General features: G+C 41.6%; 1 protein-coding gene and 1 non-coding gene across 11 annotated transcripts in view, besides 2 other annotated features; one reads left to right on the top strand and one right to left on the bottom strand.

Annotated features, from left to right (window-relative positions):
- Positions 1–26,690, bottom strand: part of CAMK1D (calcium/calmodulin dependent protein kinase ID) — a 485,999-nt gene that overhangs the window by 157,560 nt on the left and 301,749 nt on the right. For 8 of the 10 annotated variants that reach the window (XM_006717483.5, NM_153498.4, XM_006717482.4 and 5 more), the window contains one exon: positions 11,176–11,250. In XM_006717483.5, coding sequence (XP_006717546.1) covers positions 11,176–11,250 — 75 coding nt within the window. Of the gene's footprint in view, positions 1–11,175; positions 11,251–12,377; positions 13,512–13,570; positions 14,753–26,690 lie in introns of those variants that run through there. The other 2 variants (XM_011519593.4, XM_011519592.4) reach the window with 2 other exon arrangements.
- Positions 21,102–21,396: a silencer, noted in NCBI's record as "tiled region #13393; HepG2 Repressive DNase unmatched - State 12:CtcfO". NCBI's record gives its function as "represses a minimal TATA promoter and a strong SV40 promoter by Sharpr-MPRA in HepG2 cells {active_cell/tissue: HepG2}" and the evidence as "EXISTENCE:reporter gene assay evidence [ECO:0000049][PMID:27701403]".
- Positions 21,725–21,784: an enhancer, noted in NCBI's record as "active region_3048". NCBI's record gives its function as "activates an Ori minimal core promoter by ATAC-STARR-seq in GM12878 lymphoblastoid cells {active_cell/tissue: GM12878}" and the evidence as "EXISTENCE:reporter gene assay evidence [ECO:0000049][PMID:35858748]".
- MIR4481 (microRNA 4481) lies at positions 24,789–24,848 on the top strand. Its single transcript, NR_039701.1, has one exon. It is a non-coding gene; the product is annotated as a microRNA 4481 (primary transcript).

Here is a 26,690-nt window from a genome sequence, read left to right as displayed (position 1 = left end):
AGTGGCAGAAAAAATAAAGAACAAAGCATATTCAATCGTTAGTCCGGAGAAGGACAAAGCAGCAGCAGTAGCAACCAGAGGTATTGAGTTAGCTTCTGCTGGCATCTCCAGCCATAACTCCCACCAAGATGTCACATTACCACTGACCCCAGCCAGACTGAACTCCTACAGGACAAAACCACTCATGGATTAAATCCCTCACAGACCAAACCCTCACAGACTGAGCTCTCCTTACAAAGTCCCTCATAGACTCAGCCCTCCTCTCAGACAAAGCCCCTCATAGACTGAGCCCCTCACAGACTCTTCTTCCCTCCCAGGCTCCCTAACCCTTCTAGTGGTACCTGCCCTTCTGCCTGGAGCCCAGCTACCTATCTCGTGGCAGCACCTCCATCTGGCTGACTCTTAATCACCCTCCATTTAAGGTGTCTCCTCCCAGAGTGCCCTGCACTGTCCTCACGAAAGCAACCTCCGAGGGTTATAATCTCTCCTCTCTATAAGGAGCACTACTGAGGAGCATCGATTGTGTCTTGTCTGTATCCCCCAAGCCCCTTCCCACCCCCGCAATGCTAAACAGCAGAAACCACAGGCCTGTTAGGTGTTCAATTAGTATCTGCTGTGAACAAAGATAAGATTTTGGTAATTTATATATAAATATATTAAGGTGTCATATTCGGAAACATTTTTTTCTTCGTTATTATGCTTGGCTACTTACAGAAGGCTTTCTATTGGGAGTCATAATTTGTGTTCTAATTAAAACTGTTTCTGGGAACACAGACTATGAATTATGAATACAATATCCACACGACAGCTAACAGCGGTGACCCCCACAAACAGGGAACTGTGCAAACAGCTTACTGCACAAGACAACAGAGTACAGAGACCATATTTTCTCTTGGAGGCTGATCTATTTTCATGCCTTGGGGGTACCAGGAACCAAATTAATATTCTTTAAAGAATGGGTGTTTTGTCCTTAGCTTTTCAAGCTCAGCAGGAAATCACAACACTGGTAAAAAACTCACAACATTGGTAAAAAATTATATAAGAAATAAACATAATGATTGTAGTAAATGGAACAAGATTGTTCTAGTGAATTCCTGTGATACTGCTGAGTAAACTTTACTCCCCCTCACAAACCACCACAAAATATAGGATATTTTCTGGTGAGCTCTGCTTTTTAAATACTTCTTGAATCATAACGAATATCATTTTCCAGGTAAACTGAACCATTCACATTAATGGTACCTACGAAGTTCTTTTTTTCCTAGAAAATGCTATCAGTGTATCATATTAGGCTGGTCAAGGGCATACACTGGGTTGCTCACTGATTTGGGTAAATGATCCAACCTCTCTGCTCAGGTTCCTCATTGAAAACTGGGATCACAGTAACTCCTGAGTTTACTGTAAGGACTAAATGAGTAAAGAGATATGCTAACCATTATTACATTCCCAGGTGATCATATCAGTTAAGCATTTGTTAAGCGCCTAGCATAACGTGAAAGCACTGTTCCAGCAGACAACAGGCAGAGACAACTTTTCTGATGGTGACAAGTGCTACAGAGAGAAAGAAAGTTGGGGAGAGGGATAAGGAATTAATGTATGTGTGTCACGAGGTGGTGGCGGGAGTTGCTATTTTATACAGGAGAGCTTGGGGTATATGTCAGTGAACAGGTGACATTTGGCAGAAATTCTCATATTTCCGTTATTCCATGATAGCATTAAGATAAGTGATTCTGGCTGGGCGTGGTGGCTAACGCCTGTAATCCCAGCACTCTGGGAGGTAGAGGCAAGAGGATCACCTGAGGTCAGGAATTAGAGACCAGCCAGGCCAACACGGTGAAACCCTGTCTCTACTAAAAACACCAAAAATTAGCCAGGCGTAGTGGCAGGTGCCTGTAATCCCAGCTACTCAGGAGGCTGAGACAGGAGAATCGCTTGAACCCGGGAGGCAGAGGTTGTGGTGAGCCGAGATCGCGCCATTGCACTCCAGCCTGGGCAACAAGAGCAAAACTCCTTCTCAAAACAAACAAACAAACAAACAAACAAAACATAAAAAAAGATAAGCGATTCCAGCAGAAAGAATATCAGAAACAAGGGCCCTGTGGCAGTACTGGCCTGGTATGTTTGAGGAATTGCAAGGAAGCCAGACAGGCTGCAGCTGAACGAAAGAAAGGTGGGACAGGAAGTCAGAGAGGTTTCCAGGAGCCAGGACACATAGGTCCCTGGAGGCCACCATAATGACTTTGTCTTTGACTCGAAGATGAGAAGCCAATGGGAGTTTTTCAACAAAGGCGTGATAAGATCTGACTAACACACTAAAAAAGAACAGCACAGTGGGGTAGGACTGGGGGAAGAAAGATGTTTTATATGGTGGTTTGGAAAAGAGTGGTAGGTATAGAGACGAGGAAAAGTGGTTGTGTTTGTTGTAAATTCTGAAGCTGGTGGCCACAGGATTTGCCAAGGGATGGGATTGTTGGGTATAAGAGAAAAGGATAAGTCAAGGATGACTCCAGATTTTTGGCCTGGGCAACTGGAAGAATGGAGTTGCCATTTGCTAAGATGAGATAGACAGCAGGAGAAGCAGATTTTGTGGAAAATTCAAGAGTTTATTTTGGATCTGGTATGTGAGTGATGCTTATTACCTGGCCAAATGGAACTGCTGAGAAGACAGTTGGATATACAAGCTTAGAGTTCTGGACAGGGCTCCAGGCTGGAGATACAAATTGAGGAGTTACCCACATATGGAAATAGAAGTCTTACTGGAAATATGTTCTTATTCCACAGCAATATAATCTATTTCTTTTTAAAAATATTTCTGATTTATCCTTTGCATTGTATCAGCCTGAAGTTTATTTTACTTCCTAAGTTGTTACACTTGTAAAGGGGGAGGAGTTGAGGCAGTGTCCTTTCTTATCTCCGAATATATGGACTAATGTTCTTTTTTTTTTTTTTTTTTTTGAGATGGAGTCTCGCTCTGTCGCCCAGGCTGGAGTGCAGTGGTGTGATCTCAGCTTACTGCAACCTCCACCTCCCAGGTTTAAGCAATTCCCTGCCTCAGCCTCCTGAGTAGCTGGGATTACAGGCACCTGCCATCACACCGAGCTAATTTTTGTATTTTTAGTAGAGACGGGGTTTCACCATCTTGGCCAGGCTAGTCTTGAACTCCTGACCTCGTGATCCACCCGCCTCAGCCTCCCAAAGTGCTGGGATTACAGGCGTGAGCCACCGCGCCTGACCCTGGATTAATATTCTACAAGTCAAGTCAGATGAGAAATAAATTCCAAACGAACTGACTTTCCATCTATCACTTCTCCCTATGTCATAATGACTTCCTACTATCTAAAGCAGAATGTTCCAAAAACAGAATTCTGAAAAAAAAAAAAAAAAAAGCATTTTTCCAAAAACCCAAATAAAATTTAAATATAGACTCCTGGAAACAATTAAGACTCTTGCTGCAGCAGTACAGGAACAAATCTACTGCAATACTCAGAATTGAAATAGCAATTAGACAGGTAATAATATTAAGGTGCTGAGCATCCCCTGTTGTATCTCAGTGCCCACGATGCTGTTTCCTAGGAAACTAAAACTTTCCGAGGCACAAACATTGTAAAATACAGTCCTCCAAAATGTTGTGTTTTAGATCCTCCTCATATATTTAGAAGCTAAAGACTTTCTTAGCTCTTTAGTCAAACAAAAACAAAATAAAAACAAAAACTCTTTCCACTTTCTCACTGACCCAGACAGAAAAGATGGGGGCCAGGAGCAGTGGCTCACATATCCCAACACTTTGGGAGACTGGGAGGATTGCTTGAGGTCAGGGGTTTGAGATCAGCCTGGACAACACAGCAAGACCCATCTCTACAAAAGTAAAAGTAATTAGCCAGGCATGGTGGCACATGCCTGCAGTCCCAGCTACTCAGGATGCTAAGGTGGAAGAATCGCTTGAGCCCAGGAGTTGGAGGCTGCAGTGATATATGATCACGCCAGTGCCCTCCAGCCTGGGTGACAGAGAGAGAGCCCAACTACTGAAAAAAAAATTTAATAAAAAAAGAAAAACAGATGGATTCTCAGGAGCGTAAACCACTGAGCCTTGCCAAACAAAAACAAAAAATACAACAACCAAAAATAATACAGGCTACAAAATCCTCAAACCAAACCACAGACTTTCCCAGTAGTGTTAATTCTGATATATCCAGGGCTTTCTGTCATTGCTTTTTTCTTTTTATACTCATTTGGATAACTAATGGAGGCAAAAAGGGAATAAGAGAGGCTAATTTGAATTTTCAAAATGTCTAACACAAAATATTTTAAGACATATTATTATGCTATTAAAATACACCTAATACTTAGAACTAAACTATCAAAGTTTTACCAAATAGGATTCCTTCAGGGACTAACTAGAATTAATGTAAATTTCAGACGACATGATTATTGAGATAGAAAATGGTAAGAAATCCACAAAACAACACTGGAACTAGTAAGTGAGTTTAGCAAGATCAGAGGCTAATGCACAAAAATCAATTATATTTTTATATGCTAGCAGCAGCAAGCAACTGGAAAAATGAAATAAAGATCCATTGAAAATAGAATAAAAAATATTTCAGAATAAATTGAACAAGTATATGAAGACCTACATCCTGAAAACTATAAAATGTCACTGAGAGCAATAAAAAACCTAAATAAAATGAAAACACTTACGTTTATTAATCAAAAGGCTACATGTTTTAAGCTGTCAATTGTCCTCAAATTGGTAAACAGATTCAACGTAAGCTCAAACAAAATTCCCACAAGCATTAAAAAAGGCAGCCGGGCACGGTGGCTCACACCTATAATCTTAGCACTTTGGGAGGCCGAGACAGGAGGATTGCCTGAGCTCAGGCATTCGAGACCAGCCTGGGCAAGATGGTGAAACCAAACCTGTACTCAACTATAGAAAATGACCTGGGCACCTGTAATCCCAGCTACTCAGGAGGCTGAGGCACAAGAATTGCTTGAACCCGGGAGGCGGAAGTTGCAGTGAGCCAATATCGTGCCACTGCATCAGAGCCTGGACAATAAAGCAAAACTCTGACTAAAAAAAAAAAAAAAAAAAGGCAAGCCTATTCTAAAACTTACATGAAAATACAAATACTCTAGAATAGCCAAAGCTATTTTAAGGAAAAAACAAATAAATAAAAAAACTAAAGTTGGAGAACTTACAACAAATGATGCTGAAAACTGGATAGCCCTATGACAAAAATGAATATTGTCATTACTTCATACTATATATATAAAATTAACCTGAAATTGATCATGAAATATACCTAGGTAGAAAAGCTGACCCGGCACAGTGGCTCACGTCTGTAATCCCAGCACCTTGGGAGGCTGAGGTGGGTGGATCACTTGAGGTCAGGAGTTCAGGACCAGCCTGGCCAACATGGTGAAACCCTGTCTCTACGAAAAATACAAAAAAATTATCTAGGCGTGGTGGTGCATGCCTGTAATCCCAGCTACTTGGGAAGCTGAGGCAGGAGACTCACTTGAACCCGGGAGGCAGAGGTTGCAGTGAGCCGAGATTGCACCACTGTACTCAGGCCTCGGCGACAGAGTGAGACACCATCTCAAAAAAAGAAGGCAAAAGCTAAAATTATGTAACGTCCAGAGGAAAACATTATTTGCATAGGTAAAGACTTTTAACACAGGACACAAAAAGCACAAGCCATTAAAAAAAATGAACATCATCCCCACTAAAACTTTCCTTATTCAAAAGGTACCATTAAGAATTAGGTGACAGTGGCCCGGCGAGGTGGCTCACGCTTGTAATCCCAGCATTTTGGGAGGCCGCGGCAGGCAGATCACGAGGTCAGGAGATCAAGACCATCCTGGCCAACATGGTGAAACCCCATCTCTACTAAAAATACAAAAAATTAGCCAGGCGTGGTGGCGGGTGCCTGTAGTCCCAGCTACTCGGGAGGCTGGGGCAGGAGAATGGCATGAACCGGAGAGGCACAGCTTGCAGTGAGCCAAGATCACGCCACTGCACTCCAGCCTGGGCGACAGACTGAGACTCCATCTTAAAAAAAAAAAAAAAAAAAAAAGAATTAGGTGATAACTTCTTAGTATAACACCAAAAACATAAGCAACAAAAGAAAAAATAAAGCAGACCAACTCAAAGTTAAAAAACTTTTGTGCTGTAAATGAAACTATCAAGAAAGTAGAAAGACAATCTACAGAATAGGGGAATACATTTGCAAATCATGTCTGGTAAGATATTTGTATATAAAATATATAAAGCAGTCTTACAACAATAAAAGACAAATTAATTTTACAAAGGATAAAGGATTTTAATATATATATGTGTGTGTGTATACGTGTATATATATATCTCCATATATATATATATACATATCTCCAAAGAAGATATGTAAGTGGCTAACATGGGAAAAGATGTTCAAAATCGTTAGTTATCAGGAAAATACAAACCGAAATCTTGAGATGCCACTTCACACCCACAGGATGGCTATCGTCAAAAAGACAGAGAGTAAGTGTTAATAAGGATGTAGAGAAGTTGGAATCCCCATACGTTGCTCATGGGATTGTAAAATGGTACAGTCATTTTGGAAAATAGTTTGATGAGTTCTCAAAATGTTAAAAAAAAAAAAAGAGCTATCATTCGACCCGGCAATTTCACTCCTAGGTATATACCCAAGGGAAATGAAAGCAAGTCCACAAAAGAAGCTGTACATGAAAATGCCTGCATCATTATTCATATTAGCCAAAAAGTGAGACAACCTAAATGTCCATCAACTGAAAAACAGAGAAACAAAATGTGATATATCCAGATAATAAAATATTATTTGGTAATAAAAAGGAATGAAGTACTGATACATGATACAATATGGATTAATCTTGTAATCAATAAGCTGAGAGAGAGAATCTAGTCACGAAAGATCACATGTTGTATAATTCCATTCATATGAAAAGTCTAAAACAGGCAAATCCATAGGGACCAAAGATAAGTAGTTGCAAGAGACTAAGGGAGGGAGGAATTGACAGTGATTGCTAATGAGTACAGGGTTTCTTTTAGAGGGACAAAAATGTCCTAAAATTAGGTTGTAGTGATGGATGCATAACCTTGTGACTATAACAAAAAACATTTCGGGCTGGGCACGGTGGCTCACACCTGTAATCCCAGCACTTTGGGAAGCTGAGGTGGGTGGATCACCTGAGGTCAGGAGTTCAAGACCAGCCTGACCAACAAGGTGAAACCCCATCTCTACTAAAAAATACAAAAAATAGCTGGGCATGGTGGCAGGTGCCCACAATCCCAGCTACTCTGGAGGCTGAGCTAGGAGAATCGCTTGAACCCGGGAGGCAGAGGTTGCAGTGAGCCAAGATCACGCCATTGCACTCCGCCTGGGCAAAAGAGTGAGAATCCGTCTCAAAAAAAAAAAAATTTCATTGTACACTTTATGGGTGAATTGTGTAGTATGTAAATCAGATTTCCATGAATTTTTTTAAAAGGTGCCATTAAAAAAACAGCAACACAAGCTACAAAATGGAAGAAAATATTCATATTACATGTATCTGACAAAGTATGGACTATATAAAGAACACTTTCAACCCAAGAATGTGATGATAATCCAATAAAGATTGAGCGAAAGATCTGAACAGACACTTCATAAAAGAAGATATACAAGTGGCCAATCGGGGCATAAAAAAATGATCAACATGATTCATCATCGAGACATGCAAATTAAAACCACCCTGTGATATCACTACACCCCATTAGAATGGCTAAAAGTGAAAATCTCAAGGGCTAGCAAGAATGTAGAGCAACAGGAACTGACACATACCGCTGGCCAAAAAAAAAAAAAAAAAAAGCAAAACGGTACAACCACTTTGGAAAACTGTCAGACGGTTTATTAAAAAGTTGAACGCAACATCTACCATATGACCCATTCATTCCACTCCTAGGTCTTTACTCAAACATGCATGCACACAAAGACCTGTACGTGAACGTTCACAGCAACTTCACTCGATAGAGTCCGCCAACTGGGCACCACCCAAGTGTCTATAAATACAAAAGTTTAAAACATGAGGAATATTCATAAAATAATGGAATACTACTCAGCAATAAAAAGGAATGAACCACTGAGACATGCTACATGGATGAATGTCAAAATAATGATGAGTGAAATAAGCCAGACACAAAAGGTACATACTATATAAGTCAATTTATATGATATTTTATAAAATATAAAATAATCTCTCATAAGTAAAGTAGGTCACTGGTTGACTAGGGTCATGAATGAGGAAGAGAAGACTTTGAAGGGGTCGAAGGGGTCTTGAGTGGCATGGAAATTTTCTGTCTCTTGACAGTGGTGGTGGCTTTAAGGGTATGATTCTCTCACGTTCATCACTGAAGTGTCCATTTAAATGGATACAGTGACTCGTATGTAAATGATACCCCAATAAAGTTGATTGGTATAATGAGAACCAATAAAAAAGGATACAATTTAACATTTTTTAAATTAGCATATCTAATTTTTTATATAAATAAACCTTCTGAACTACTGCGCAAATTTTTTTTCCTTAGGTAATTCAAACATTCATTGCCTCTAAACTGGATTTTGTGATTAATTTGCTCGACAAATCTCATACGATGTCCCCCAACAGTTAATCCCACCCTAATTCCTCTCTGAATTACTAAAAATTCTTAATGAGTGTGCCCCATATTAACGACGTGGTTTTTTGTGGGGTTTTTTTGTTTGTTTCGAGACAGAGTCTTGCCCTGTCGCCCAGGCTGGAGTACAGTGGCACAATCTCAGCTCATTGCAACCTCCACCTCCCAGGCTCAAGAGATTTTCCTGCCTCAGCCTCCTGAGTAGATGTGACTGCAGGTGCCCACCACCATGCCCAGCTAATTTTTACATTTTTAGTAGAGATGGGGTTTCACCATGTTGGCCAGGCTGGTCTCGAACTCCTGACTTTAAATGATCTGCCAGCCTCGAACTCCCAAAGTGCTGGGATTGCAGGCGTGAGCCACCATGCCGGGCCAATGAGGTTTTGTTTTTTGTTTTTTGTTTTTTTTTTCTTAACACAAAAGAAAGAGGAATTCCTTGACAGAAAAAGCTCAGGGAAGGGCAGGGATAGCAGTGTCCTCATATGACTTCCAGGCTTTGTTCTGAGGTTGGTTTTGTTCCAGACATTTTTATGTTTTTATGTCAACCCATATTTGCGATAACTTTTGTTGGTAGTATACAACCCCAAGTTGCTTAGAAAGGCAAATTCTAAATCGACTTGAACTTTATCTCATAAAATTAAAGACCATCTGTAGAGGCATAGTGATGAAATGATACAGATATCCATAGAGAAACCACGTGTACTGAAGACCTAATATTGTGAGATTACTTCCTACACTTTTCTCCTTCACTATCACTATAATCCTCTAATGAAAATATTATTATCCCCATTTTCCCATTATCGAAACTGATACTCAGAGCCCAGTTATTTGCCCTAGTTCCCCTGGCTAGAAAGAGGCAGAGCTGAGGTTGACACATTTGAGGTGCTTTAACTGATATTTGGTTATAGTCCCATAAACACAAAACTTAAACAAGTAGATCCATATAGCTTTAGATTGAGGATTAGTAGTTTTTGCATTACCAATGAAAAAACACACATTTAAATACACAGCTAACATTTTGCGGGGCATTTGGTTGCCACTGAAATCTCATAATCTTCCAATTAGGCAATAATATTTGATGAGAAAGTGATGTGCTTGCATCTTTATAGAGCAGAAATTGCATAAAGCAAAGTCACATGAACTTCTAGGGCATGCTCCCAAATTTGGGGAGAACTAGCTCTCTCTAGGAAAAACCAGAAATACGGCAAAGTGTAACGCAAACAGAAGAACAAGGAACTAGAAAAGGTAACTCGAGTTAACATGGTAACCAAGAAGTAAAAAAACTTCTTTGACTTATACCATGGCTGACTATAACATACAAATCTCTAAAACTGCTAGTCACCACCTGGAACTGCCATTTGACAGAGAGAAATCATACATATGCTTCTGGCATAGACAGCTTTAAAATATTTATACAAAAATATCATAACCTACAAAAATATTTTGAAGATCATGAAAGGTTAACTAAATGCACCGATGAACACTTATTTGCATCCTAACATGATCCCAAGTTAATGTGTTGTTCAAACATTCATAAGGAAAAGAAAAATCTATGGAAAAGAAATTGTGAGCCTAATCATCAATTCTCCATACCCTCAACAATCCAAAGTCTCAAAATCATTAATAAATCATGAAATTAAGTCTATATTCTAATGTTCAACAAAAATCTCCTCAGTCATTAAACTTAATCTTATGATGTTCCAGCATTTATTTATTCAGGTAATGGTTAAAGCATAATATTCCGACACAGTTTCTATCAGTTAATTCTACTAAATGTAGCCCTGGGATATTCCTAGGAATCTTATCACTTAGAGTAAAGCATTTATGCAGGCAGGGAGGCTAATTTCAGCTAAATTTTTAAAAATGCATTTTCAAGTAAAGTCTTTATTTGAATATCTGGCTTTCTGATTTCTTCCCTCTTTTGGTAATCTCCAGTGTTAATGGAATGCAAAAATAATCTAATGAGGGGGATAATGTCATGGTCTGACACCAATTATACTTCTCTTATGTCTGGCACGAATTCCCTTTTCAGTCACATGTGCTGTTATCTGTCAAAGGAATAATACAAGGGAAGAAACGGGTATACACAGTTACCATCTGCTTCCCTCCCCCGGCATCCCTGGAAAGGATGACAAGGGTGGGAGTTTCTCCTAGAGACAGGAGCAAAGTGTACCTTACAGTGGGCCCACTGAAGTGTCTTCAGGCAGCCACATTTGGCCCTGGCATATTAGAAAGCAATACAGACACCCTGCAACAGGAAGGTCACATTCACTGCTGAGCTCTAGGTTATCAGTCCAGCCCAGCAGTGCAGGCTGGTGCAAGGGAGGCCTGTAGACGCCTGTGTGCAGCCCACCGTCTTTAGTTGGATACAGGCCTCTCTAGTATCCCACAGGCCTCCCTGCTCCCTACTGCCTTACCTGGCCCACTTCAATCACTTCTTTTCCCACCTGATCCCTTTAGACATTGGAGTTTGCAAGTTGGTTCAAAACTCATCAATCAAACAAGGTACTTACAGCTGCATGACCAAGTACAGGTGATTTGGGCTTTCATAAATGTCTTCCAGGGCAACAATATTTTCATGCTTAATCCTGAAAAAAAAAATAGACGCACAAAATAGTGAGTATGATTAGATAGGAAAATGTTTCAAAACAGACAGCATTGTAGCAAAAAGTTACAAAACAGAATCCAAACTCCTGAACAAAAAGATTTCAGACTTCACAATGTTGTCCCCAGACTTTTTCCAGACCCATTTCCTAACAGTCCTTCCCTGATCTCCATTCCTCTTCGTTCCTAAGGCTCAATACCCTACAGTTTAGCAAGAGTGGATTAACAATTGTTGCTTCATGTGAATCCCAGAAATGGGCCAAACCTATTATCTTGTAGAGCCCAACTCAGAGGGCTGAGCCACTGGGCAGAATTATTCCCTCTTCTGTTGTCTCCCAGTGGCCATCACGGACTTGCCTGACCACTTAATTATATGAAAATCTATCCCCCATGACAGGCATATGTCAGGGAGCAGGGAGACCTGGTGAGACACTGGAGAATATATATGTTCCAGGGAACAGTTTCTCTGGCATGTCCATGGGTCCAGTGTAAGGAAAAAAAAAACCAACCTGACTCCCTCACTGGGGTTCATGTCCCCCCACCCCACCCCACTACCAAATGTCACTTCAGCTTCCCAAGCAAACTAGATCAGTGCTACTCAAAGTGTGGTTCTCAAACAGGCAGCACCAGCATCTACAAAGAGCTTAGCAGGAATGCAAATTATCAGGCCCCACGACAAGCACAGAGTACACAAGTTGAGGGCAGAGCCCAGGAATCAGTATTGTAATAAGATGCTCAGATAATCTACACGTGTAAACTAGAGCTTGAGAAATACTGTGTTAGACCAGCGCTGCTCAAACTTCAACGTGCAGATGAATCGCCTGGGGGTCTGGCCCCACTGCAGGCCCTGCGTCAGCAGGTTTGCTTGGGGCCTCGAAGGCTGCATTTCCAACCAGCTCCCAGGAGATATCGGTACTGCCGATCTGCAGACTGCACTCTGAATAACCAAGTTCTAACTCAAGAACCAGGGCAGAAGGAAACAGCCGAATTCTAGCCGTTGGCACTATCCATTAAGAGCAGTTTCTGCTCAGAATGTAAGGCTTGACATTATTTAAAGCATGTGACAGAAAAAAAAATGATTTCATTACTCAAGGTGATAATTAGCTCTTACCATAAGCCTCTCATTGAAATGACTGCTGAACCATTTAAAGACAAGCACAGAACACGCAGATTCTTGTGAACCTCTTGAAAGCTAGAACTACATTATTCATTTTGTTTGCTCCTGGTGCCTAGCACAGATCTGCTGAATAAATGCTTGCTGAATGAATGAATGATATTGAAAGGCTGTTGCCGCTAAACAGCAAGAAACCTTATTTAGTTAGGAAAAACGGAAACCATTTTCCTAAATGTGTGATGTCTTCCCCGCGAAAGAAGTTTATAAGGTGGAAAACAAACAAGAATATTATCTTCTTTTTGAGATGAAAGAGAACAAGATAATTAACAAAGACTGGTAAAGCTTTCCTTTGAATTCTACAGCTTGTAGTAGTTAATGCAGTTGTTTTGCAGGAGCTAAAACAATAGATTATACTAAATTCACCTTCCACCTGATTCCAAAGAATAGAGTCTAATTATTTGTCAGCCATAGTTTCTACGTGGTCTGAGCAAGATACTACCAGCCATACAGCATATGAAAATAAACTATGCCACCAAGGAAACCAAGAGAGCTTAACTTGAGACTACCAAGATCCTACAAATCACGGCATTATCATTATTGGATCTACCTAAAAGAATATGCCCACAAAAAGTAGGCATCACGTAGATTTTCCCTTTTTGGAAAAATTGTTTTAATTTGCAATTGGAATCAATCACATGCTCATAAACATTTTCTTTTAGTCCAGCTCATTTGAGAGTTAATGAAGAGCCTAGATTTCTGGAGAAATAGGAGGAATGGGATTATATGAAGAGTGGCCAGAGAAAATGCATGGCACACAGTTACATCTGAACTGTAGCAAAACGGTGAATACTTTTGTAGTTTAAGTACGTCCCAAGTATTGCATGGTTGTTTATCTGAAATTCAGAGGTAACTGGGCATGCTGTATTTTCACGTGCTAAATCTAATCACTCTGCTTACATCACTCAATCTCTAAATTGGGTTTAGAGATTGGCACCTGCAGCCCTGGCTTGCCTTGGAGGTTGAGTCAAGAAGGCTGTCTGAGCCCCAGAGTCCAGTCATTCATTCAGATTCAACAATAACACAAAGCACTTGCCTAGCTATCATTGCGGACCCCAATAAATTAGGACTACATTCCCCTCCTTTGATACACGGGATAGAGAATTAAAGCCTATTAACCTGCTATGTCTTACATGAGTGCTGACTAGAAACTGCTTTTAATCCATTGCAGCGTTCCAGAGAAGTGTTGCACACAGCAAGGACAATCCCAAATAGCAGTTTCACAGTGGCTGGAAAGACACTTTATTAATATCTCTCCATCAACCAATCAAGCAATTGTCATTTGCTGCGTTTCTGCTATGTGTCTGGAAGAAAAGAAAAATAAAAAATAAAGTTTTGCTATCAAAAAGCTTATCATCTAGGCAGAGAAACTCAGGAAGAAATTAGAAAAGAATCAAATGCTAAATTCTGTAGAATTGCCTTTAAGTTCAGAGAAAGCAGAGCCCTGAATGGGTCAGAATTATGGAGAAGGTCTCAAGAAGTTGCTGGGAGTTGAGCTGGAATGAGTAATGTTTGAATAAGCATACTTGAGAAATTTCAAATAAATCCTAAAATGGCCTCTTAATGTCTCTTAAGAAAAGTGGTTTAATTAACTTGGAGCTGTTCAAACATGGTTAAAAAAAATTATTCTGGCCTCCCACATCTGTTCTCAGGTACTTTATTCCACCCTCACATTGCTTACAATGTGCAAAATCTGAACGTAAAGTTTTAACATTATTTTAGTGCATGAGTTATTTTCAAAAAATGCCATACGACTATCCATGCATTGTGCCCTAGAAGTAGGGCACAAGCACCAAATGAAGGCCTATTCCAGGCAAAGGCTCATTTCATGCTCAATTTCCTCTTTTCATTATTCATTCAATAAATATCTGTTGGGTGCCTGCCATGTATCAGGCACAGTCCTAGGTACTCTGAATTTGGTGGAGAACGAGACACAAGAAAGGCAGTCTCAGCCCTCCTGGTACTCATGCACTGGCTGGAGCTAGAACGCTTCTCAGACAGCCTGTCTCACACTTACCAGAAATCAGCCTCCTGGTCATTAGTAATGACTCCTAGGACCAACAGAGAACTAGCTTCCACCTTCTTCCCATATATCCTGCACAGATTTGAGGGATATAATGCCTCTGCTTAGTCTTCTCAATGCTGACCAGTCTTCCTACAATACGGTTTATATTCTTCTCATTGCTCTATCATCACTCATTTGTCCAGACTCTAGCATTCAGATCTGGAAATACTGATCCCAGGGTAAAATACAGTATCATGAATACGGTATTAAATAGTAAAGTAGAGGCCGGGCACGGTTGCTCATGCCTGTAATCCCAGCACTTTGGGAGGCCGAGGTGGGCAGGTCACTTGAGGTCAGGAGTTCCAGACCAGCCTGGCCAACATGGTGAAACCCCATTCCTACTAAAAATACAAAAATCAGCTGGGCGTGGCGGCATGTGCCTGTAATCCCAGCTACTCAGAGGCTGAGGCAGGACAATCGTTTGAACCTGCGAGGCAGAGGTTGCAGTGAGCTGAGATCGTGCCATTGCACTCCAGCCTGGGCAACCAGAGCAAAACTCTGTCTCAAAAACAAAAACGAAAACAAAAACAAACAAACAAAAAAAACAAGGAAAGGAGAACTAGTAACCAACATGAACTGGATATTATACTTCTACCAATAAAAGCTAACAAGTTCATTGTCGTAGTTTTGAGCCAATGCATAACCACTGGCACACAGAAAATATAAACTCCAGGTAGGGAGGGATTTTTGACTGTTTCACTACTGTCACCCCAGTGCCAAACAAAGAGCATGGCACATAGTTAATTACTGAATATCCAGTTTAGGGCCAATTAAATCACCAGATCATTTTAATCTGAAGTTCTACCAAACACAATCTCCTTTTTTTTTTTTTGAGGCAGAGTGTTGCTCTGTCTCCGAGGCTGGAGTGCAGTGGTGCAATCTCGGCTCACTGCAAGCTCCGCCCCCCGGGTTCATGCCATTCCCCTGCCTCAGCCTCCCTGGTAGCTGGGACCACAGGCGCCCGCCACCATGCCCGGCTGATTTTTTGTATTTTTAGTAGAGACAGGGTTTCACCGCGTTAGTCAGGATGGTCTCCATCCCTGACCTCGTGATCCGCCCATCTCGGCCTCCCAAAGTGCTGGGATTACAGGCGTGAGCCATTGAACCCAGCCCACAATCTCCTTTCTTACTCGGGTTGATATTGTGAGAGCTTAATGTCTTCACCTTTAGCTTCATTAAATCCAATCATTCTGGATTCCATGCAGCGTTTCAGATGATCAGCAGTGTTCTGAATGTTGATTGACTCATCTATTGCTCTTATTATCCCTCCCAACTTTGGGCCATCTGTGTACTTGGTAAATATCCATCCCATGTGTCTTCATTCAAATTCCTAATTAAAATTTTAAATGGAAGGTTACATGTCAGAGCTCCATGGTATTCCACCAGAGACCCGCATCAAGATAACCATGACGTTAATCAGCTGGCTTCAATTGCTCTCTAGCTGCAAACCTAGCAGTACTATCATCTAGCCTGTGTTTTACCATCCCATCCATAAGGAGACAATTAGATGCTTTGCAGAAGTAGAATTCTTCAGCTCTACACACCACATAATACTATTTAAAAGGGAAATGGGATGTTCGGGAAGATTTGTTCTTAGTAACCCATGTTAGCTCCTAGCAACCACTACAGTCTTTACTAAATGATCACAAACCATCTGCTTAATTTTCTGTTCCAGAATTTTGCTGTGCATTGAAGTCAAGCTTTCCAGTCTATAGATCTCATCTTCTACCCTTTATATGTTTGGGAATTTTGACAACCTCTCTTACATTGTTTTCTCAAACATTTCAGCTGTGACTCTTCTGTGATAAGTGCAATTTCCTCAGTCCCCTGGGATGTCACAGATCTAAACCTAGTGATGAGCTAATTTTATAACTTTTGTTAGGCCTTGCTTACATTGCTGTTTTATTGTACCATTTATTGTTAACTATGTGTTAAGACTGCACTAAGTATTTTTAATTATTTCATTTACCATTAACAACAAGCCCATGAAGTAGGTATTATTTTCTCAATTTTTAAAAGAGGAGAAAATAAGGAAGGAGACTAAGATCCCATGAGGCTAGGTAAGTATTCCAAGATCACAGAACTCATAATTGTCATTGCTGAGATTCAATCTATGTCTATTCTCACTCCCTAGCCCATGTTAAAGCAATTACGCTATAACTTAACTAAGTTATGAGACTATCCAAGAGCTCATATAAATTCAGTTATTTCTATAAAATTAGAATATCTAAAGTCAAAGTATTAATGCCATCATTAACAATATAATATCCACTTCTGTGGGTGCAGAGATTTGTTGAATTATCTTGAATCTAGTGGATGTGCTCAAGATACTCGGTTGTAAACATCCTAACAGATGAAATTCCAGTGGGTCAGACAGAATCAGAAAAAGACATGTTGAAAAGCAGAAGGAATAGGGAGAAGTCCAGAGTAATTAGAAAGAGGTTCTCCTTAGCCCATATCTGCTAGTGTCATCAAAAAAGAGAATCAACTGAACAGAGAAAAGAGGCAGAGATGTCAGTTATAGGCAAATGGAAAATGGAGATTCTGTCAACTAGCACAGCGAAATCCCAGAGGTCAACACTCTTTCCAAAGTATGGCCAAGAGGATCTTCATCCATAAGGGATGTTGACTCTCAAACAGCAAAATGTCCTGAAATGTGCGTAATTCAAAGCCATAATAATGTCACTGAAAACAACTTCAGGTGATAAAAAGAAACTCAACTTAATTTTCATCACTTATCATTTACCAGGCCCAAAGTAAGCATGAGCTGACACATCTATATACAGAGAGAAAATGGTTTATATGGCAACCTACATGAAAGCCTCCATAATCTCCAATAATGCACAGAAATGGTAGAGGGAAGTGGGTCCAGGCAGAGAGAGTCAACTTGAATGGGAAAAAAGCACATGGGCATTGAAGCAGACTTCTGTCCATATAGTAACTGACAGCCAAGCAAGAAAACTCCAGAAAAAGCCAAGAAAACATTTTAAAATTAATTCATGCATAAAAAATAACTGATACCAAATGTACAAACAGGCCCCGTTACAAAGCCCCCAAGCTTTGTAAGGGAACATCAGGACCCAAAGGGTCAGCCTGCTACTGACTACACGTGCTTCTGTGGAGTGAGAGTAACATCTTCCCCTCCAGCCTCATGTACCCCAGTTCAAGGATTCACAAATTTTTAACTCCATGGCAAATGAGGAAAATTTAAGAAAAAGAAAGAAAAAGCAAAGCACAAAAGAGAGGAGAAAAAAAGTTCAGCATTTCTCACTTTTTCCATTCGATCATTTTACTGATCTGCAGGGCATCCCTGGAAGCAATTATGAGGTAATTCAGAGGAAGCAAAAGACCACAAAATGCCTTTCCTTGCTATTGCCATTCTCTAGTAATGGGCATTGACCTACTTAGGTTATGAACGCCAGATGAAGACAAGGGATGTAAGAAAATACAATCGGAAGGGAGAGACAAGAGTGAAACTGATTATAAGAGAGGATGAGGTGGGGATAGCGAGGCACAGATTGCCCTGCAATGTGCAAGGAGAAAGTTACGTCAACGAGCCGCAATCAGCTTCCGGTCCGCTTTTCAGGCACTTCCGGGTTTACAGTCTAGTCTGGGAAAGGCCTCTCTCCGCAAGCAAAGGCCATAGAGGACCAGGTCTTTCACTACCCACCATTGTCACTCTAAGCAGCCCAGAAAGCTGAAATTTTATTCACACAAAAAGAGAGGCGTGGTTCCCTGGCATGGAATTGCCTCAAAAGTACTTGAAGAATATTGTGATGTCTTGGCAAACCCTCCCGTTTATCTAAGTAAACGCTTATGTTTTTTCGAAACTGAAAAAAAAATCATTTCCTCCTTACTAGGGTCAAATTCTTGTTTTCTCACATTATAATCAGTGTGGGAAATAATGCTGAGAAAATTGGGATATTGTCAGTCACAAGAACAGTGATAGCACTGAAATATTGGCCAGATGGTATTAAAAGTAATACCTTTCATTTTAATAAACAGGCACATTGGCAGGTGTTATTTCATTCTGCAACAGCCTTATAAAGTAGGCATTATTATTCCTATCTCACAGATGATCACTCACAGTTTATAATCACTTAATTGTTCTCCCCAACTCCCTCTGGTCTCACTCTCTTCCTATCCATTTTCCGTGCTGTCTCCTGAGTGATCTCTCCAAAATATAGAACTGATAAAACTTCTTAGCATGAAATCCAGCACTGGCTCCCTGTAGTACAGGAGAAAGTTCAAACAACTGGCATGGCTTACAAGTCACTTGTTACTTGTGAAATGGGAAAAGTTCCCTTATCCCACTTGCAGGGTGTGCGACAGGGGGACTGGCTCACGTTCTCAGTGCCAGCTGTTGATAATCCTAGGGGAGCATGCAGACGGGCAGGCTGTGGGCCTCCGACCCCACAGCAGCATCTGGGGTGAATGCTTACAGCTTCCGAAGCCCCAGTGGGCATGTGTTACAGGGTGCTCTTTTAGTTTTGCCATCTGTAAGCAGCTTGTGTTAATCAGCTCTATTAGACCCTCTGCCTTATCACAAGGACAGAGGGCTTTCTGTATCCTGGGGTTCTTGCCTTGGTGTACCGGAAAAATCGGATCACACGTGGGCTTGGAGAATGAGTGCAAAGTTTCTTATGGAGTGGTAGCTCTCAGTGAGGTGGAAGGGGAGGCCAGAAGGGGAATGGAGTGGGAAGGTGGTTTCCCCTGGAGTCATGCTGCCCAGCGGCTGGGCTCTCCTCCAACTGCCCCAGCCAAACTCCACGTCCTTCTGCTGGTCAATGGCCTGATGGTGTCTTCTGCTGCCTGTGGGTCTGCCGGTGCATTCCTCTTGATGTCCAGCCATTTGTGTGTGTGCCCACTAGGGTCTCAGGGTTTTTATAGGCACAGGATGGGGACATGGTGGGCCAGGGTGGTCTTGGGGAAGGCAACATTTGGGCACAAAAACAGAAATGCCTGTCCTTACCTAGTTTTGTGCACATAGGCCTGGGGGTGGAGCACTAGGCATGGACCATGACTTTCCCTTTCCCAAGCACTTCCCTGCCCCCCTCCCCTATCACTTGGTCTTTACTTGCCCATCCCACATCATCTTCCACCCTGCCCCACACCAACATTTTACTGAACCCCGGCAGGTCTCGCACACCCCGCCCTCCCCAGCCATGCACACCTTCGTCTCTGAGTGTGCTCATCACTCTCCTGTCTTCTTACGAAAATACTCATCCTTTAAGACTCATTTCTCTATCACCTCCACTGAGAACCCTTTGCTGTTTCTCACAGCTTGCAGCACCAATCACCTTTCCTCTGGGTCACCCCAGTTCTTTGTTTTTTTTGAGACAGAGTCTCATTCTGTCACCCAGGCTGGAGTGCAGTGGCACGATCTCGGCTCACTGCAACCTCCACCTCCTGGGCTCAAGCAATTCTCCTCTCAGCCTCCCGAGTAGCTAGGACTACAGGTACGTGCCACCATGCCCAGCTAATTTTTGTATTTTTAGTAGAGACAGGGTTTCACCACATTGGTCAGGCTGTCTCGAACTCCTGGCCTCAGTTGATCCGCCCGCCTCAGCCTCCCAAGGTGCTGGGATTACAGGTGTGAGCCACCGCACCTGGCCCACCCCAGTTCTTGGATCACCTTGCTGTCTGTACTGCATTGTATCCAGGTATCTGTTTGTATGTAAATGTGTGTGTGTATATTTAAATGATCTTACAGGCAGAGTAAAACATCTAGAGGGATACATATCAAACCAGTGAGTAAACACTTCAGAAAGTACTAGAGTAGAAGATTCTCACTTTCCAGTTTTTCCTCAACTGGGGCTCTTCATCTGAACCACAGAACACAGAAAATGATTCAAGTGACTACTTTCTCAGTCCTCCAAGACAGCACCATTCTAGCTGCAAAGGAGAAAGTTAATTTAGTGTAGACAATAAATGTCTTAAGCATTAGCGCTTCATTCTCTCACTGAACCCAAGAACAGTCAAGTTGCTAAACTGTTGTATTGCCCAACTTTTACAGAAAGGTGTTTTTATTTATTTATTTATTTATTTATTTATTTTTATGAGACAGAGTCTCTCTCCATCACTAGGCTGGAGTGCAGTGGCACAATCTCAGCTCAATGCAACCTCAGCCTCCTAGGTTCAAGCGATTCTCCTGCCTCAGCCTCCCGAGTAGCTGGAACTACAGGCATGCGCCACCACACTCAGCTAATTTTTGTATTTTTAGTAGAGACGGGGTTTCACCATGTTGGCCAGGATGGTCTCGATCTCTTGACCTCGTGATCAGCCTGCCTCGGCCTCCCAAAGTGCTGGGATTACAGGCATGAGCCACCGTGCCTGGCCAGAAAGGTGCTTTTAAAAAGTTCTTGATGAAAATCATTAACCAAGTTCACCAAGTTTACCAAAATATATCCATAAAAGTGCACACAAAAAGAAATGCATACTGATTAGTGGAATTGCACAAGCAATCAAGAGATTAGCTTGCGTCTTAGCTCTGATACATCTAACTGCAAGACTTTGAACAAGTCGTTAAATACTTTCTGATTTGATTTCTCATTTGTTAAATGAACATCAAAATATGTCATCTTGTTATTTATCTATCCACGTGTATATATATGTGTTTATGTAAAAAAAATGTATATACACACACACATGTAACATATTACTGTATAGTTAGAGATCTTGTGTTGTAGACCATAGGCCACTTCAAGAAATGAGCAGAATTCAAAATCCTAAGCTTCAAATCACCTCTCTTTGCTGCCAGAAGATGGAGCTATACTCAATGGGCAACTAAGGAGCCAAGACTATGATACCTAAATCAACTAAGCTCTTAAGTCTGTAAGCTAGTTTTGTTGTTGTTTTTTAAAGATTAAGTACTACATGTTGATACTGATTGTGAAATGAGTTTTTCCTTGAATCCTTATAAACAAACAAACAAATGACAATAAAAACCCTTGTGCACAAATGGCGGTTTTTTTCTTTTCTCTTTTTTTTGAAACAGGGTCTCTCACTCCGTCACCCAGGCTGGAGCGCAGTGGTGTGGTTTCGGTTCACTGCAACCTCTGCCTCCCAGGCTCAAGTGATCCTCCCACCTCAGTCTCCCAAGTAGCTAGGACCACAGGCATGTGCCACCACACCCAGCTAATTTTGGCATATTTTTGTAGAGATGGGATTTCACCATGTTACCCAGGCTGGTCCTGAAGGTATTTTCTTAATAGCACCCCAGGCCTCCTTAGTACAATGCAGGGTACCCACTGTGGGGGCATAGCTAGCACTCATATGTGTAGGGATGCAGTGCTAGAGCCTGTAATGGTCCCACAGGAGGGGCATCAACGAGCTGGTTCTGTCTCTGACACTATGACCACATTCTGGTCACATCCCCTTCCTGGGTCTCGGTTTCCTTGTCTAGAAATCAACCAGCCAGACCAGAAAGTCCCCAAGGTCTCTTCCAACTCTAACAATCAATGAATCTAAACTTATAATGAGGCAAAGTGCATTAAGGTATCTATGAGAACCATCAACTTTGACTCTAAGTCCATATTCAGTGTTCTCTGGAATAGTCTTTGCTACACAGAAGCCTGGTGACAACTTGTGCATCAATAGGTTCTTTATCTGCACAGACAAGTTTGTCAGCTGGACACAGAACAGAATTTTCTTGAGACATGAAGTTGTTTACACAGAAAAGACCCACTTTTCCTTCTCCCACATCAGCATCCACAATGCCTGGACTAATACAGAAACGCCCAAGTGATTTGCTCTTGTCTAGAATGGCTCTAGAGGTCCAGCTGAGGCCTGGCGGTCTTTCGACCAAAGGAGAAATAAGTTAGGTCCAGTTCAGTGTGAAAAATCCAGTGTGAAAAATCCAGCACATATCAACACTCAAGGAATGTTTATGGAAGAATGAATGAATGAATGAACAATTAATTCTCACCTTCCAAAAGTCTTACAGACTCCAGACATTCCAAAGCTACACACCAGAATGAAAAAAGGTTCTAAGATTTGACTGTGTATTTCTTTCCTATTTCTGTTACCATCCATGAGAAGTTACCAGTGAATGGGTGATACAGTTTGGATAGTTTTTCTTGCCCAAATCTCATCTTGAATTTCAATCCTCAATGCTTGAACATGGGGTCTAGAGGGCAGTGTTCAAGTCATGGGGGTGGATCCCTCATGGCTTGGTGCTGTCTTTGCGACAGTGGCTTCTTGTGTGGCACCTCCCCCTCCCACTCTCTCTCGATCCTGCTTTCACCATGTGACATGCCTGCTCCCCCTTTGCCTTCCATCATGAGTGTAAGTTTCCTGAGGTCTCCCTAAAAGCCGAGCAGATGCCAGCACTATGCTTCCTGTACAGCCTGCAGAACTGTGAGCCAATTAAACCTCTTTTCCTATAAATTACCCAGGCTCAGGTATTTCTGTATAGCAATGCAGGAACGGCCTAATCCAATGGGTCTCAAGCTCAGATACGTGCTAGAATTATCTGAGGAGTTCCAAATGTACTAATAACTGGAACATTTTTGGAGATTATGATTTGATTGGCCTGCGGCGTGGCCTAGGCGTAACAAGTTCTTTATAGTTTCTCCAGTGATTCAAACGTGCAGCCAAGTTTGAGAACCACTGGTAAGTCATTTATTACTAAATTACTGAGAATCTTAGGTCATGGGAAAGGGTTCAACTTTAGATACTTCAGAGCTGATAACTTCGTGGCTTCCGTGCCCATTTTAAATTTATCTAGGCTGAATACATTTATTTGATAATAAGTCTGATTTTTAAAGGTTAAGATCCAGGGTGTCCTAAGGATAAAGATTTAAGGCTACATGGCCAACCCATTACTCCTCTCAGGATAAGAATATGAAAAAAATAACATTTCTTAGCAAGTATAATAGTATTAGCAACTAATATTTCTTAGCAAGTAGTATTAGTAATACTTCTTCTACTATTTCTTAGCAAGACTTTGAAACACTAACACATTTAAAGGAATACTGTCATTTCCTTCTTTGAATCTTTTGGTAACTTTTTGTCAAAGGGTAATATATATTTCTGTGGGCATTTTAAACATGAAAATTAGCACCAGGAGTCTCAGAAAACATTAAGGTGTTTACCCGCCTTGAAACAGAGATTAACTCTTGTAGCTTGGATTTCCTAGCTTCACTGATGTGAGAACCCACATACACCAAATCACCTTAGAAAGGGAAATCTCAGAAAGCTTGTTTCAGATTCACTGTGGATGCTTACAAGGTGAATTTAGAAGCTATTCCTGTATGAAATACTGTTAATGACACAGAACTGCTGGGGTGTATCCTGCAGCTTCCTTCACATACTCTGTGCCCCAGATTGAAGACGCTGGGCTTGAATTCAGGAAGCATCTTTGAGGTTTCTAGCTCTGAACACTTGCATTTATATGAGGATAAGTAAGTGGAAGGGAAACAAAATAATGCACTGGAATCTAGGGGAAAGGTATTGTTTCTTTTTTCTTTCCTACCACTAATGTCCTGTGCTTTCTCTGTGCTGATACCCACATGGAAGGGTCCATATTTCACAACTCAAACCCATGACCATGTCAAGCCAACAGGTGCCCTGAATAGCACCTACTGAAATTGGAGGACCCAGTGCTGCTCTTTCATTCAAACGAGATAATGAAGCATCAGGAACACAGGCCAAAATGATCCTAGGCATTGCACTAAAGCTACTGGGGTATGGCAACATTTATTTAGAAAGTGGGAAGCCAATTGTAAAAGAAAAAGATGAGATGAAAATAGTAAGATGAAAAACAGAGAGGGAAGTCTGTTTTGAACAACCATCTAATTTCAGTTCACTGTCAGACTTAGGGGGATTGAACTCATACTGTATAATGTTCCTCATCATTCTGGGAAAGTGCCCACATTCAGAGATGATGGTGCAGAATTGAGTGTTCTTTAATTTTTGCACATCAGTAATTAACGTTGTCACATGGTTGGCTCAGGTCACACTCAGGCTTCAGATAACCAGGCACATTCCAATGGAAGAAAACATCTTTCAAGCACTCATATGTTGGGAATGAATTAGGGTGTTTGTGGTTCATTGTATGTGTGTTTTTAAACATAATTTCTTATTTTCTGATCATCTCTATCAGTGTGCATAATAAGGACAACTCTGTGCTATGGTATGAATATTTGTTTCCTCCAAAACTCACACTGAAATGCAATCCCTAATGTGGCAGTATTGTGAGGTGGGGCCTTTTAGAGGTGACTGAATCACAAGGGTTCTGCCCTTATGAATAGATTAACCCATTTGTGGATTAATGGGTCATCACAGGAGTGGGCTGGTGGTTTTTTAAGAGGAAGGGAGACCTAAGCTAGCACATGAGCACGCTCAGCCCCCCAGCCATGTGATGCCCCACAATGCCTCAGGACTCTGCAGAAAGAGTTCCCCACAGCAAGAAGGTTCTCACTAGATGCAGCCCCTCCACCTTGGACTTCCCAGCCTCCACAACTGTAAGAAATAAAGAAAAGGTTCTTTATAAACTACCCAGTTTCAGCTATTTTGTTATAAGTTATAGAAAACGAACTAAGACACCGTATTCTTTCTTAAGAATTAATTTCTTCATAACTGAGATGAGTCACAATTAAAAAGAGCAGCATGTTTTGCTTTGTTGATGTTTTTTAAACGAGGGGTGTGTAATACACATCCACCTCTCCAAATTGCAGTTTTATGATAGATCATTGTTAAATGCTAAGGTGGTCTGAGCTTATAGTTCTATTATATCCTGCTAATAAAAGACTATGATCAAGGATGTCAACTCAAGAAACTTCCTAGTGTAACCTCCAGGGCTATTTGCAAATTCTCAGGAATGACATTACAAATAGGTTGTGGCTAATAAACTCGTTACTATTCACCTAGTTTTCTTTCTTTCTTTTTTTTTTCGAGATGGAGTCTCGCTCTGTCGCCCAGGCTGGAGTGCAGTGGTGCACTCTCTGCTCACTGCAAGCTCCGCCTCGTGGGGTCACACCATTCCCCTGCCTCAGCCTCCCAAGTAGCTGGGACTACAGGCGCCCGCCACCACGCCCGGCTTTTTTTTTTTTTTTTGTATTTTTAGTAGTGACGGGGTTTCACCGTGTTAGCCAGGATGGTCTTGATCTCCTGACCTTGTGATCCGCCCATCTCTGCCTCCCAAAGTGCTGGGATTACAGGCGTGAGCCACAGCACCCAGCCCTAGGGAATTTGTTTTTAAAGAAGACTCTCCTACTAAAAAGTGAAGAAAAATAAACAAACAAAAAACAGAATAAAGATGGGGGCAAGGGAGTGGAGGGAACCAGTGTAATCAACAATTCAAAAGTGAAATTAAAAGCTTTCTTCCCCACTCCAACTAGTAAAGACTATTACTGACACATTTTCAAATACAAAGAGAAGATCTTCCCTCAAAAAGTTATTTCCGGCCGGGCGCGGTGGTCACGCCTGTAATCCCAGCACTTTGGGAGGCCGAGGCGGGCAGATCACGAGGTCAGGAGATAGAGGCCATCCTGGCTAACACAGTGAAACCCCATCTCTACTGAAAATACAAAAAAATTAGCGGGGCGTGGTGGCGGGCACCTGTAGTCCCAGCTACTTGGGAGGCTGAGGCAGGAGAATGGCGTGAACCCAGGGCAGGTGGCTTGCAGTGAGCCGAGATCGCGCCACTGCACTCCAGCCTGGGCGACAGAACGGGACTCCGTCTCAAAAAAAAAAAAAGTTATTTCCAAAGATGGTAATGAGCTCCTTTGTCCTAAATCTTTGGCCTCTTTACAGTTTCTTTAAAAACAAAAAAGAAGTTGTCCAGGCAGTATGGCTCACGCCTGTAATCCCAGTACTTTGCGAGGCCAAGGCGGGAGGATCACTTGAACCCAGGAGTTTGAGACCAGCCTGGACAACACGGTGAAATCCCGTCTCTCCAAAAAGAAAAAAAAAATACAAAAATTAGCTGGGTGTGGTGGCACGTGCCTGTGGTCCCAGCTACCCAGGAGGCTAAGGTGGGAGGATCTCCTGAGACTGGGAAGTTGAGGCCGCAATGAACCATGACTGCACCACTGCACTCCAGCCTGAGTGACAGAGTGAGACTCCATTTCAAAAACATGAATAAAATAAAATTAAAAGTTGTGTTAAAATCAGGAAGAAGCCAACAGTGGGCCAAAGGCGGAGATGTGCGCATACACACACCTGTCTGTATGTAGGCATAAATG

Source organism: Homo sapiens, chromosome 10 (genome assembly GCF_000001405.40).
Source record: "Homo sapiens chromosome 10, GRCh38.p14 Primary Assembly".
Taxonomy (NCBI): domain Eukaryota; kingdom Metazoa; phylum Chordata; class Mammalia; order Primates; family Hominidae; genus Homo; species Homo sapiens.
This window is presented reverse-complemented; position numbering and strand designations above follow the sequence as displayed.